Below are 14,885 nucleotides of genomic sequence, written 5' to 3'. Positions count from 1 at the left end.
CTACTTATGAAGGGTGTTTGTGTGTGTATGTGTGCTTTAAATATTAGGAATAATTAGTTGGACACAAAGAGCAATCCTAATTTTCAAGTGATGAGGATATCCTTGATATGATGAAATTTTTCTCAATTGTTGGCTGGCAGTAGATAATGGAATACTGCTATCCTTCTGCTTTCATGGATAACAATTCTATCTTGTGACAGAGATCCTTTGAGCCCAGACCGTGCTGTCTAGAAACCTTATGTAGACTGCATAAAGATCTTTACCAGCCCAGGGATTTTTTTGTGCCTCGTTTGGTGGAGGACCCCTCTAGCTTTTCAGGGAGAGTATCATGTCAAATTTATGAAGAACCTAGTTCTTCAAGGCTCAGGGCTTTATTCAGCCTTGCCTATCAGTCTGCTGAGTAGTTAAATAAAATGTCAAATCAGTTGGATTTTGTTACAGGCATTTTTTTAAAATGATCTCTAAGACAGTGTCCTAACAACTTACTTGATTTTAAAAGTTCTTGAATTATTTTTAAACAGTGCTGTAGATTATATGAAATAAAAATTTTGCAATTCATAGTAATGAATTGCATGATACATTGAAATATAAACGGGCTTCTGTTAACTAGGATCTTTAGCTTTTTGAGATTTTAGTTAGGAAAAAGTAAATTTTTATGTTGGAGTAAGTATATTTTATATTCTAGTAATAAGTTAAAGCATGAATGTACTTAGAACTTTGCTCATTGAGATGTATGATGTATCATAACTAATGTAGATGTTATAGTAGTAGAATCTGATGTGACCATGTGCCAATTAAGTGCATAAATGCTGTTTTAAATGTTTGATTATAATATTAATATAATCGCCTGGTTACTTCTTTAGGTGTAAAAGATCAGCTAACTAAAGAAAATGAGGAGCTTAAACAAAGGAATGGAGCCTTAGATCAGCAGAAAGATGAATTGGATGTTCGCATTACTGCGCTAAAGTCCCAATATGAAGGTCGAATTAGTCGCTTGGAAAGAGAACTCAGGGAGCATCAAGAGAGACACCTTGAGCAGAGAGATGAGCCTCAAGAACCTTCTAATAAGGTGATTAGCTAATTCTGCTTAAGTAACAAATTGTTTTTCTTTGTACATTTTACTTGAAAGTGCTTGGTGATATAGGAGCCTTTGTCAGTGAATTTTGGCTAAAATTCAATATATGCGGAGAGAATTAACAATAATGACAATTTTTTTGTGGCATTTTTAGTGGACTCTTGTGGGCTAGGAACAACAATCAAGAGCTTTCTCTTTATAGGTCCCTGAACAGCAGAGACAGATCACATTGAAAACAACTCCAGCTTCTGGTGAAAGAGGAATGTGAGTTTTAGTTATTTCATAGTCTGTTATTTTTCTTTTAAAGCTCAGGGAATATCTAGTGATCTTTCTGTTTAGGAAAAAGAAATCTGTGTATTCTATTGTAAAAACATACACTAAAGAGTTGTTTTCTCTGCAGAACTGTATCATGTATTTGCCAGCTTGTTTTCACCATACTTTCAGTCCTATCAGATGAAGCTTTGTGACAGAGAAAACGTCTCTCATCTTTTAGTTTACAGTTGGTTTCTAAGTTAGGCTGCTACTGATTTTCCCCGTGATGTTACATGATGACAGATAGAAAATGCTGGGCTGAGACTTGGGTTCAGCAATTCAACAGCTAGATACATTTTACATTGTCAGGATGCACCACTCTGGAGCATTCCCTGTGTAGTTTTTAATGCTTAAATTCAAAACAGCTTTAATAAGGCTCTGAAATATTTAGTGAACAAAAAAATGGAGACCTATACTCACTGTGTTTTTAAAAGTATTTGCATAATAATTTGTTATTAATTATTCTTCCATTTTCTCCTCTATAAGTGCCAGCACATCAGACCCACCAACAGCCAATATCAAGCCAACTCCTGTTGTGTCTACTCCAAGTAAAGTGACAGCTGCAGCTATGGCTGGAAATAAGTCAACACCCAGGGCTAGTATCCGCCCAATGGTTACACCTGCAACTGTTACAAATCCCACTACTACCCCAACAGCTACAGTGATGCCCACTACACAAGTGGAATCACAGGAAGGTTAGTAAAATAATACAGATCTGATGAGACTGCTTATTTAGATTTATTATGAGAAGATGACAGTAATTTCAAAGACAAATGAAGCATCCACTACAGCTGAAGTCACGTCATTGTAAAAATGGGTGTTTAATATTTGAAGGACATACTTCTAGGACCAAAATTTTCACTTGTAATGACAAAGAATATATGAAATCCACTTTGGAAAATCATACTGAATTACTGGCTCAATCCAACATTGCTTTCTCACTGAAACTGACCATTTCATTGCTTTCTTCAATTTTTTCCCATGACACTCTTGTTATTCATTACAGCAATTACAACTTTGTATTTTATTCTGTGGTATACATGCTTTTTACTCCACTACATTGAGCTCCTCAAGGGCAAAAATCTCAGCTTCTTATTGTTTAATCCCTTTACCTAACTCCACAGTAGGTGTTCAGTAAAACTTTGCTACCTGCATATTTCCTTAGATTCTTATCTTGACAAATGTTAGAATTCAGTAAATTATTCAAGTATTTCTGTGCTGTGAAAGTAGAGAATGTTTTATTTCAGCTACATCCAATAAACTAAATATATTACTAATCAAATTTACTATCTGTTATATCAATTAAAAACTAAATGATGCTTAATGAAAAATTCTAATTTTACTTTGAGCTTAATTTCATTAATTTTATTCAACAGTAATTTAAATGAATAGATGCAAAATCAGTTACAGATATTTATTTAATTCAGGCAACATTTTATTGCATGCTACCATATCAATTACATAGGGAATATAAAAATGCATAATACATTACCTTTACCTACAATGTATTTGTCTACCAAGTGCCAAATCTGTGTGAAAGGTGACATGTACCACAGAATAGGAAGGATAATTTCAGCTTTGATAAAAGTAGAAGGCTTATATTCAGCATTATAATTATTTTTCAGCTATGCAGTCAGAAGGGCCTGTGGAACATGTTCCAGTTTTTGGAAGCACAAGTGGATCCGTTCGTTCTACTAGTCCTAATGTCCAGCCTTCTATCTCTCAACCTATTTTAACTGTTCAGCAACAAACACAGGCTACAGCTTTTGTGCAACCCACTCAACAGAGTCATCCTCAGATTGAGCCTGCCAATCAAGAGTTATCTTCAAACATAGTAGAGGTTGTTCAGAGTTCACCAGTTGAGCGGCCTTCTACTTCCACAGCAGTATTTGGCACAGGTAAAATTAATTTTAAAATGAAGTCAGAGTAGACCTATGCATTTATAAGATCTTGAGTGTATCTTGAGTATATATATCTTGAGTATTCTTTGTACAAATGAAGTTAGAATAGACCTACGCAATTATAATATCTTGGATATAATACGTATCACAAGTATTCTTTGTGCATACATGCTTTCTACCAGGAATTAGAATGAATGAATATATTACTAACATTTTATTTCATGTTTACTACTGAATATGACTATTTTAAATCAGTTGTTTGTCATTAAGATGATTCTCCCCCTCCAGTTATTTTTTTTACTGGTCTTACATATTAATGCAAAACATTGTATATAATTTAACGGAAGTCCTGAGGACTAAAAGACACCTAAGATAAGACTATATACTGATTTACATACAGTGTACATTTTTTCTTATTCAAGGAGTCCTGAGTTTTATAGAAGGTCCCATGTAAACTTTGTAGATAACAACATAGTAATACAATCTCAGTGAACCAGATATATTGTAAAAATTGGCTGGCTTTATTAAGCAAAGCTTGGGTTGGTATAAAAACATTGACTCAGAGCATAAGTTGCTCTTTGTTTACCCATAGCTTAGCAGAAACAAATTATGTTGATGGACATTGATCTAGGAGTTGATTGATTGTATTTTAGTAATCTGTACAATTAAATGTTTACTGTGTTCTCCTTTAGTTAAGTGACCATATTGGGTAAACTATCTTTATCTAAATTGAGTTATTATCATGCTCTAATTCAAGATTTATATAATTTCAAAGTTTCGGCTACCCCCAGTTCTTCTTTGCCAAAGCGTACACGTGAAGAGGAAGAGGATAGCACCATAGAAGCATCAGACCAAGTCTCTGATGATACAGTGGAAATGCCTCTTCCAAAGAAGTTGAAAAGTGTCACACCTGTAGGAACTGAGGTGCGTAAAGTTCTTTCTGTGTATTTTAACTTTTACCAGTAGAGTTAAGGTACTCTTTTCAGCTACAGCCTAAAGAAAATTAACCTTTTGGGGCCAAAATATATTATCTGGAAAACACTTTTATTGAACTTTCTACAAAGATTCCACTGACAACCCAGGTATTATTACCAACAGTGTTTTATATTCTTGCATATCTTTAATTGCATTTGTTTCTATTTCAATAAAAAAGCTCAGTCATAAAAACATAAGTTGAATTTCATCTCGAAGTTTCTAAGTCTCATGGACATAAACTGTTACCTGCTATCTTTTTCTAAGATTAGCCAAAATTATATTCCTTTTTGTGGTTAAGATTAAATTGTAATGAAGCAGGTTTCAAATCAAACATTAAGGCTACTAAATTAATTGTATTAGCATGTATTAATGTTCATAAACCTTACTTTGTGTATACTGAGGAGGAATGTGATTATAATTTTTAAATAAAATTTTTTTATTTTTCTATAGTTTCATAAAATATAGATTTGAAGGGTTTTTTCAAATGAGAGAACTAACAAAAACAGGTAACCCTTCATCTACTACACTGATATGGTTAATATATTAGTGTATTATGATACAGGAAGAAGTTATGGCAGAAGAAAGTACTGATGGAGAGGTAGAGACTCAGGTATACAACCAGGATTCTCAAGATTCCATTGGAGAAGTAAGTAAAAACATACCTAAAGTACCACACCGTTGCTTTTCGTGAATGAAATTAGCTTTGACAAATTGAAACATTATTTGGTCTTTTTTTTTTTAGCTTGTTCTTATTATATGTAATGAAATACTACTAGAATTAATCATTGCAGAGTCTGCTTTCTTTTACTCCTATGAGTATAGTGTACTGCCTTCTAAACTTATATTAAAGAAATGTTTTTGTTCATATATAGCACAGATTTCCAGATTTTTTAGAGTTGTGAGCCAAGATTTTTCCCTATTTTAATTACATGAAATACAAGAGTGCTGGTTGCATCTTGAGTTAATTTATAGTGCCCCATTTGCTGGTTCTCTCTTACTCCCCTGTATTATTTCCCTTACAGAATTAAAGTAATCCATAAAAGGAAATGCATTTATATACCTCTTCATTTTTTGATCTCTCATTGAGGTTCCCCTAGCAGTTTTACTAGCGGAGAGAATATAGACCCTGAAGTTACAAAGCATGAGGTGTCATTCCTAGCTCCACCACTAGGAAGCTTTGTGACTGTAAGCATATCATTAATTCCCTGCATTGTCTCACTTGTCAAAAAATATAATTTTTAGGATTGTAAAATACCTAAAGTAGTACCTGCCACATATTAGGCACTCAGAATATTATTACTTTCCTTTCTTCCTTCTGTCCCACAAAATGAGAATTCATATTGTCATCAAGAAGACCCCCAGGGTGGCTAAATAGTGTTTAATAGAAAGGAGAGCTTTATTAGTGATATCATTTTGCTCATGAGGAAGAAATAGTCTCCAGCGTGGACCAAAGGTGTTCTGTCTTCACACAGGGCAGGGACAGGTGTGGTTTTATGCCTCACAGGGTCCTTATTACACAATAGAGTCATGCATATTCAGCAGGTTTTGGGGAAACGCTATACATATTTATGAGGGGAACTGAGCATATAAACAGTAGGTAAATATATATAATATACATCCCATGTTCACTTTGGGGCAGCGTTTTAGCATGAAAATGAGCTGGAATTTGGCTCTTTACGTGAAGAGTGAACAAAAGGTGAACTACAGGACACAAAGACAGTTTGTGCGCAGCCTCTTTAAGCAGGTTGAAACTAGCTTAAGGTGTCTGCAGTTCCTTGCCAGTGCTCTCTACAGTCAGAGTTGTAGTGGTCTGGATTGTAAATCAGAGATAGGAGTCTGATAACTTGCCCGATAGTTCCAGTTAGAGGAGTTTAGCAAAGGCTTATATTTTTTTATTGTAACCATATGAATTTAGAAATTTACCATGCCAGACAGGCCCTGAACCCTTGACCTACGGGTAACTTTTGTTTCCTTAACCTTAGGGTTTGTCTTAGTTGAGAAAATGGCATCTATTTTGGTCTCTCAAATCACAATGTATGATAGTAATTAAATATCAATATTTAACACAGAACTCATTACTATATGCCAAATGTTGATCTAAGAAATTTTTATTTATTAACTAATTTAATCTTCATTATACCTCATAGTTACAGAAACTGATACCCAGATAAAGTAGTGTACCGAAGTTCACATAGCATTGGAGCTCAGATTCAAACCCAGGCTGTGTAGTTTTCAACTGTCCTAAGCTTGAAACAGTACTTTTGTCTGTATAAACTTTCTGGATCATCTTATGCTATAATTATTTTATCATGTAAAATTAAGGAATTGTCTCAAGCTAACCATAAATAGCCATATCGCAAGTAAATTTTAGTTTCTTAGCTGCGTTTATTTTGTAAGTTAATTTTACCAGCTTTCTTTGACTGAAAACACTAAACTAAATCTTCAGATGATTATGTAGTACAGGTTGAACATCCCTAATTTGAAAATTCAAAACTTTTTAGGTGCCAACATTGCAAGCCACGTGTGTAATGTTCCACACCTGACCTCATGTGATGGGCCACAGTCAAAACAGTTAGAACTTCATTTTATACACAAAACTATTAAAAATATTGTGTCAGATTAACTTCAGGCTGTGTGTATAAACTTCAGGCTGTGTGTATACACCTTTGTATATGAAACATAAGTGAATTTTGCATTTATGCTTGCATCTTATAGCTGTCTCATTATGGATATGCAAATATTCCAGAATTCTAAAAAATCCAAAATCTGAAACACTTCTGGACCCAAGCATTTTAAATAACTTATTCAGAGCGTACTATAAATGATATCTTTTTCATCTATCCTTCAGAGAGCATTGTTTCTGAAGAACATAACAATTTGAAAATAATAAGATTTTCTGCCTTCTTGTCAGACTTGGTTAAATTATACTGAAATCTTCTGCAAAAGCTTTTTCTTGAAATTAGCAAAATTGTCTGTGACTCCAAAATACCATTTGGATTTTTATTCCACCCCTCTAGCATTGTCTACTGAATGTGTAACAGTTCATTTTTCTGATTTTCTGACAGTGAAGCAGACGTTCTTTTCAAGTGTTGCTTTTTCTGAAATAAGCATGTCACTTTGAGGCACTTTTTAAATTATACCATGACTTACTCATTTTTTCCATTACGGCATATGTAATTTTTTATGAATGTCTTAGTTTAAAAGATACTGTTGCTAGCTTGTATAAAAAATTGATTTTAGTGAGTGCTTAAGCCAAAAAGACATTTAACTTTTGATAGTAAATATTATAAATGAAGTTAAAATAATAGTTTATTTCAGTAGTTAACAAAATAGAATTGTGGAAATAGATTGAGCAAGGAATTATTTAGTATCTGATATATTTATTTTGGTTTGAAGGCTTGGAATAATTGGAATTTTGAGGAGGGAAGAAGTTCTTTGTAAAAGGACAATGATACTAACTTATGTATTCAGTGCTTTTCTTTGTAAAAAGACAGTGGTAATAGCTTATTTATTCACTGCATTTCCAAATTAGTTCTAGTTTGGGAAAACCTTCTGTTTAAACATTGCAGACCCATGAGTATTTTTTTTTTCTTTTCTGACTTTGGTCTGCAGCTGTATTGTGCACTAACCGCCCTGGCCATTGAGCAACTGAAATATGGCTGTCCAAATTGATACAAATATAAAATATACATCAGATTTTTGAAGACTTAGTAGAAATTTTAAAATGTGAAATATCTGGTTAATAATTTTTACATTGATTACATGTTGAAATAATATTTTGGATATATTGGTTAAGTATATTATTAATCACCTGTTTTTAAGTGGCTACTAACAAATTTAAAATTACATGACATATTCCTGTCTCACAGCACTGATACGCGATATCACGCTAGTAGTTTTGAATGCACAAATATTTGTTTATATTTTTTTCTCTTTTTCTTATTGGAGTATTAACCAATAAGATTTATGATAATTCTTCTATAGGAAGACATTAAGGAAACTCAAAGGTTCATCTTCTTTCTTCAAAAATACTTGAAATGCCATTTTTAAAATTAAATGTAGCTGGCTGAGGTAGCTCACACCTGTAATCTGAGTACTCTGAGAGGCCAAGGTGGGAGATCACTTGAAGTCAGGAGTTCGAGACCAGCCTGGCCAACATGGTGAAACCCTGTCTCTAATAAAAATACAAAAAATTAGCCAGACTTCGTGGGGTGGTGCCTATAGTCCCAGCTACTCAGGAGGCTGAGGCAGGAGAGTCGCTTGAACCCAGTGGGGCGGAGGTTTCAGTGAGCTGAGATAGCACCATTGCACTCCAGCCAGGGTGACAAGAGCGAGACTGTCTCAAAAAAAAAAAATTAAATTAAATGCTGCTAGTCCATAAGTACTCATTATTCTTTACTTTGACCTATAATAATACCTCACATATAGTTTTAGGTATGTTTATAGGGCTCTTAATTCTTTTTTAACTTTTTTATTTTTAAAGGGAGTTACCCAGGGAGATTATACACCTATGGAAGACAGTGAAGAAACCTCTCAGTCTCTACAAATAGATCTTGGGCCACTTCAATCAGATCAGCAGACGACAACTTCATCCCAGGATGGTCAAGGCAAAGGAGATGATGTCATTGTAATTGACAGTGATGATGAAGAAGAGGATGATGATGAAAATGATGGAGAACATGAGGTAAGTTTGATTTGAAATCATCTAGTGTTTTTAAACTATTGGATGAAAGTGCTCAAATCCTTGGGATACTAATGCATTGGCTGTAAATTCTGGTTCCCAGTCAGCTTAAATAGATTATATTTATTTATATTATATATTATATATTTAATATATTATATATTATATATTTATATATATTATATATAAATATATATATTATATATTTATATATATTATATATATAAATATATATTATATATTTATATATATTATATATATAAATATATAATATATATTTATATATATAATATATATGTTATATATTTATATATATTTATATATATAATATATATGTTATATATTTATATATATTTATATATATAATATATATGTTATATATTTATATATATTTATATATAATATATATGTTATATATTTATATATATTTATATATATAATATATATATTATATATTTAATATATTATATATTAAATAGATTATATATATTGTTTTTCTTCTATCTTAATTAGTTCAGAAATCAACATTTTATAATGAAAATTAGTGTAGAGCCAGTGATGGAATGCCCATTTTTAAAATTTTGTTTCATTTTGTTTTTTTGACAATTGATGAGTCTTTTAGGATTTGTTATCAATTAGACCTAATTTTAAGTCTTATTGATAAATGACTGTATGGCTTTAAATGTAAGTGCTATGGTTTCCGGAGATAAAAAGAAGAAACAAGAATTGTTTTTGTTTCCTCTTGGAGCCCCATAGTTCATTTTTGTCATTTTTTTATATATAAAGTGTATTTTATATATATAAGGTCAAATTGTTTGTTTTATTTTGGGGTTTAATCCTATATTGACAGCTTCTTATTTTAGATTAATAAACATTTTTTAAATAGCTCCTGATATAGTGTAATTTTATCATTTTCTTCAACTCCACCTGTTTAAATTTAGAATTAAACTGGACCACTTGATATTTTGCTGACACCTGAGGTCTATATTATCTTTGAGCAATCTCATGCAAACAGTTAGAATTCAGAATTGATCATTATTGCACTAATTCCAGTAAGTATCACAGTTGTGGTATTTGGTGCTGCTGTACTAATCCCATACAACTCTCAGGACAATTCCTATCTTCTGATTAATGAGTCACTTAAATTTCTAAGTGTGGTATCTAGACATGCAGAGCATGTGGGCCATATTCTAAACTTTTATTTATGCCTGGGGAACTTTCTACTAGGATTATGAAGAGGATGAGGAAGATGATGATGATGATGAAGATGACACAGGGATGGGAGATGAGGGTGAAGATAGTAATGAAGGAACTGGTAGTGCCGATGGCAATGATGGTTATGAAGCTGATGATGCTGAGGTAACTGGCTAGAATTTTAACCATTCATAGTTCTTTCTATGAGCTTTCTTTCACTTGCTGTTTTCCAAGGATATAGAAAGGCTTATGAAATTCACTAAAACCTTTGGTTGTTTTGTTCATTTGTTTTGTTTTTTGTTGTTATGGTTACTTATTTGTTTTTGTTGTGGTTTGGTTTGGTTAATTATTCTGTCCGGTTTTTTTAACATATTTATTTTATTTGAGCATTATGTTACCACGTTTTGTTTTTAGGGTGGTGATGGGACTGATCCAGGTACAGAAACAGAAGAAAGTATGGGTGGAGGTGAAGGTAATCACAGAGCTGCTGATTCTCAAAACAGTGGTGAGATTTTTATTAGCCTTTTTTGAATTGAATATCTCTGGTATTTTCTAAACTAGAATTGCACTTAATTCTAATATATAAATTTATTTATTGAATTGGTAAAAAGAGATTGGCCCCTGTTCTAGCTTTGTGACTGTTGTGCTCTCATAAAAAGTCTACTATATTTATGATTGTTAGGTGCTGTCATTATACTCTTTTCTGCCTCATTGGGCTGCTGTAAGATGCAAACATTTTGTAACCCTTACGGTATTATAAATGCTATATGCTGCCATTAAGAGGAAAAATTAAATTAGGGACTACTTGTAACAGCAGTTCACAACCAGAGGAGGTCAGTCTAATCAAGCTGCATGCTTCAAGATTTGGGGCTATTGGAGCTTTGCAGTATGGTCTGCTTTTCCAATGAATAAAAGATTTTTGGATCAATATAGCATATATTTTGTTAAATCTTGGATAAGTCCTGGAGGTCCACTGAAAAGTTGTGGGCATTAAAAGAGTATGGAAGTCGTAGAAAATAATTTTATTTTGAAATGTGTATTAAATAATTAGTGATTATCTGGTAATAGATAACTAACAACTGATACTAAGCTGAAATCATTAGTGTTGACATAGTAAAACCTTAGCTGTTTAGACTAATGGGAAAATACTGTATCTGGGTTTCTGTAGAGGCCTGGGTATTTAAAAGGGCAAGATATATTCTCATTTTAACTAAAGAACAGACAAAACTTTTAAATTTTTTAAGAGAAAAATACATTAATGAATATTAAGCCATATAATAGGTAATACTATTCTTACTTTTAAAGGGAGATGAGAAATTGATATACTTTGAACAAAAATTTACATTTATAAACAATTTGTAGGTTAAGAAACATTTTTTGTGTATCACGTAGTTGAAATATAGAGGGAGGAATTTTTGCTCCTCTAGGTCTCCCTCCCTCCCTCCCTTCCTTCCTTCCTTCTTTTTCCTATTTATTTTTATTTTTATTTTTGCAACCAAGCAAAAATAGGCCTAGTGCCCTGAACAAAATTAATGGATGGATTTGAGTACATTTCAAGCAACTACACTTGTATTGAATTGTTTAATTCTTGTAGTAAACTTAATAAGGTTTAGGTATCAATGAAGAATCTGAATCGCAGAAGTAAAGTGACTTGAGGTGTCGCATAGCTTACTAAGTAGCTAAGTAGCTTAAGTATTAGAGCAAGGATCTGAATCTAGACCTCAGACTTTTAAACTATGAAATTCTGTGACATCCTGTTCAACTTTTCATAGTTGAAGATGGCTTCTTTTGTTGCTACAGTGTATGTAGAAGAATACCCAGACATTTGAGAGACATTTGTTAAAATTCAAAATTCAGGAAAACCAAAAGATTAAAATGTAGTTGTAAGGCTTCTCCTCTGTCTTTATCCTTTTTGATTGTTACACTGATTCTCTAATGGTCTAACCTTTAGGTAATTTGTCTACTTTATTAAAATTAATCCAGATTTATTAAATGTTAATTTTAGTTTTATTTTATTTTATTAAATGTTTACTTTAATTTTAGTGTTTTTAATGTTTATCATAGGTCGAGCTAAGAGCTTTATGTTCATTATCTGAAATCTTTAGAAAAACCATTTTAGAAACACCAGACTTGGAGGTTACATTTGCTCTATTAACCAACCAAAAAATAGACTCAAAGAGGTTAAGGGACTTGCCCAAAGCCACACAGCGAATAAGTACACATCCCATTGTCTCTGGGTGTAAAACCCACATTTGCTTCCATCACACCTCACTACTTTACTTCTGAAAATATTCGTACGGTGAACATTCCTGTTGGCAAGATTTATACTTCTAGGGATTGTCCAAGTTTTTTTGTGGTAAATTTAGCAGTTCAAAAGTAAATTTCTCTTTTCCTACAGGTGAAGGAAATACAGGTGCTGCAGAATCTTCTTTTTCTCAGGAGGTTTCTAGAGAACAACAGCCATCATCAGCATCTGAAAGACAGGCCCCTCGAGCACCTCAGTCACCGAGACGCCCACCACATCCACTTCCCCCAAGACTGACCATTCATGCCCCACCTCAGGAGTTGGGACCACCAGTTCAGGTATTAAAAGTACTGGTCATTATGAAAAATGAACTTGAAAAAAATCTTGGCTTTTCTCCCTTTCCATTATGTATTTCTCTCTCTCTCTTGGTTTTTTTAAATTAGCAATCCCATGAACTTTTTGGTATTTTGGCATATTTTTATAAAATTCTTTGAACTAAAACTAATCTCTGAGGGATGTTTAGAAAGGCAAGTGTTACTAAAAGTTGTGCATACATTGAAATGGTTATAGTCATAGCAAATAAAATTGTTATTTCTCAAGTGAGAAAAGAAAAAGATTTTCTTGGGTTTTAATTAAAGTACATTTTCGCAGCTCACCATTATCTGATTTGAAGGTTTCTTTCTCTACAGTGCACGTATTTATAAAAGATAAAGGAATTTCTGTTGTACTTAACAGAAGAATATTTTTTCTCATTTCTTGGTAATCACATATTTTAACTTTTAAGTTTAATGAAGGTATGTATGACCCCTTATATTTAGCATGTAGTAGGGTCGGGCATCTCTTAATCAGAAGCACTTGGAAAAAGAGTAGGAAAAGTACAAAAGTTCTATTAATTTAGCTTAAGTTTTTCCCTATAAAATAGTATGTGTAAACACTGTCAAATATAGATTCTACTGAAATACCACTAGTGAAAATAACTTCATGATGGGAAAATATAAAGTCTTAAAGGATCCTGTATGGAGGCTACAAAAATATATCCAATCTGTCCATTTAGAATTATCTTAACTGGAAAACAGTTTAAAAAACAATACTGCTGTTTGAACTCCAAAAGAATACTTGCTAACACTTCCAACTAAGGAAATAGGAATTAAATTTGTTTACATACAAGATGGTATCATAGATCTGTTTTAAGTATTGGTTAATAATTGGTCTGTTGGTTAATAGAATGATTTTTATTGGTTAATATTATAGACTATAATTAAAAATTTGTCATTGACAAAAGTGATTTCTTGGCAGGTTTTCCTGGGAAAATGTCCTAATTACCTGTCTGCTAACTATTTTGTTGGCAGCGTAATAAGCTGTATCTGTTGATATTTGGTGTTTGTTTCATTGCCTCATTTCTTAAAGCAAATGTAATTCCTTTATCTTGACACGCAGAGAATTCAGATGACCCGAAGGCAGTCTGTAGGACGTGGCCTTCAGTTGACTCCAGGAATAGGTGGCATGGTAAGTACTTACCCATTATGTAAAAGTAATTCATTTCTTGAGCAGATATTTATATAGTCCATATGTGTGGTGTTTTGTTTGTTAACTCTGTTTTCTTTGTTTTAGCAACAGCATTTTTTTGATGATGAAGACAGAACAGTTCCAAGTACTCCAACTCTTGTGGTGCCACATCGTACTGATGGATTTGCTGAAGCAATTCAGTAAGTTAATGAAAGAGAAACATACTTTATAACTAATCAAACTTTTAGTCTTTCTCTGTTAGTTTGTTTATCATTTGGTTAACTCATTGTTTGTTGAGTCCCTCTCTACTATGTACTAATAAGTACTTGGGGTAGGTCAGTTGAGGATGTATTGTTGGGGAAAATTATACAGAGGTGAATGACATACAGTTACTTCTACCAAGAATTTTGAAGTTAAAGACAATATAAGAATGTTTAAGAACATGGCCTCTAGAGTTAGAATGCCTGTGTTTGAAACCTAACTCTACTGTTTACTAGCGGTAGCAAGTTCCTTAGGTTCTCTGTTCATGAGCACCTTCATTTTAAAAATGGGAATAACAATAGAATAATTTCTGTTGCATAAGTTATAAGAATTAAGTGAATCAGTTAATTTGTGTTAACATGTTTAAGATGTTACCTGACACATGATAAATTGCTTTATAGTTGTTGATTAAGTGTTGGTAATTACAATGATCATAATTTATAGTATTCTTGTGAAAGCTAAGCAAATGAGCAACTAACTGTAATGTAAACAATGTAGAAGGATAATAGAGGAATAAGCAGTAGGCTTTGTTACTACAAATGAAGAAGTAATTTATTTCAACAACTAATGAGAAAGAATATGAGATGATTTAACGCGGATGATATTGAATTCAGTCTTGGGAAAGAATAGCTAGCATTTATTGAGCATTTTCATGCATTAGTTTATTTAACCTCATAACTTATGAGAGTAGACATTATTAATGTTGTCATCTTATAGTATACTGAAGCACAGACA

At 32.6% G+C, this 14,885-nt stretch overlaps 1 protein-coding gene across 1 annotated transcript in view; it reads left to right on the top strand.

The window, feature by feature from the left end:
- Window positions 1-14,885, top strand: part of TPR (translocated promoter region, nuclear basket protein) — a 63,602-nt gene that overhangs the window by 38,847 nt on the left and 9,870 nt on the right. The window contains exons 34-45 of the mRNA NM_003292.3: window positions 864-1,069; window positions 1,278-1,339; window positions 1,874-2,082; window positions 3,013-3,285; window positions 4,064-4,212; window positions 4,826-4,909; window positions 8,747-8,947; window positions 10,172-10,303; window positions 10,553-10,643; window positions 12,537-12,721; window positions 13,821-13,889; window positions 13,995-14,089. Coding sequence (NP_003283.2) covers window positions 864-1,069; window positions 1,278-1,339; window positions 1,874-2,082; window positions 3,013-3,285; window positions 4,064-4,212; window positions 4,826-4,909; window positions 8,747-8,947; window positions 10,172-10,303; window positions 10,553-10,643; window positions 12,537-12,721; window positions 13,821-13,889; window positions 13,995-14,089 — 1,756 coding nt within the window. The remainder of the gene's footprint in view (window positions 1-863; window positions 1,070-1,277; window positions 1,340-1,873; window positions 2,083-3,012; window positions 3,286-4,063; window positions 4,213-4,825; window positions 4,910-8,746; window positions 8,948-10,171; window positions 10,304-10,552; window positions 10,644-12,536; window positions 12,722-13,820; window positions 13,890-13,994; window positions 14,090-14,885) is intronic.

Source organism: Homo sapiens, chromosome 1 (genome assembly GCF_000001405.40).
Source record: "Homo sapiens chromosome 1, GRCh38.p14 Primary Assembly".
Taxonomy (NCBI): Eukaryota; Metazoa; Chordata; class Mammalia; order Primates; family Hominidae; genus Homo; species Homo sapiens.
The sequence above is the reverse complement of the archived record's forward strand: the minus strand, read 5'-3'. Positions and strand labels throughout refer to the sequence as shown.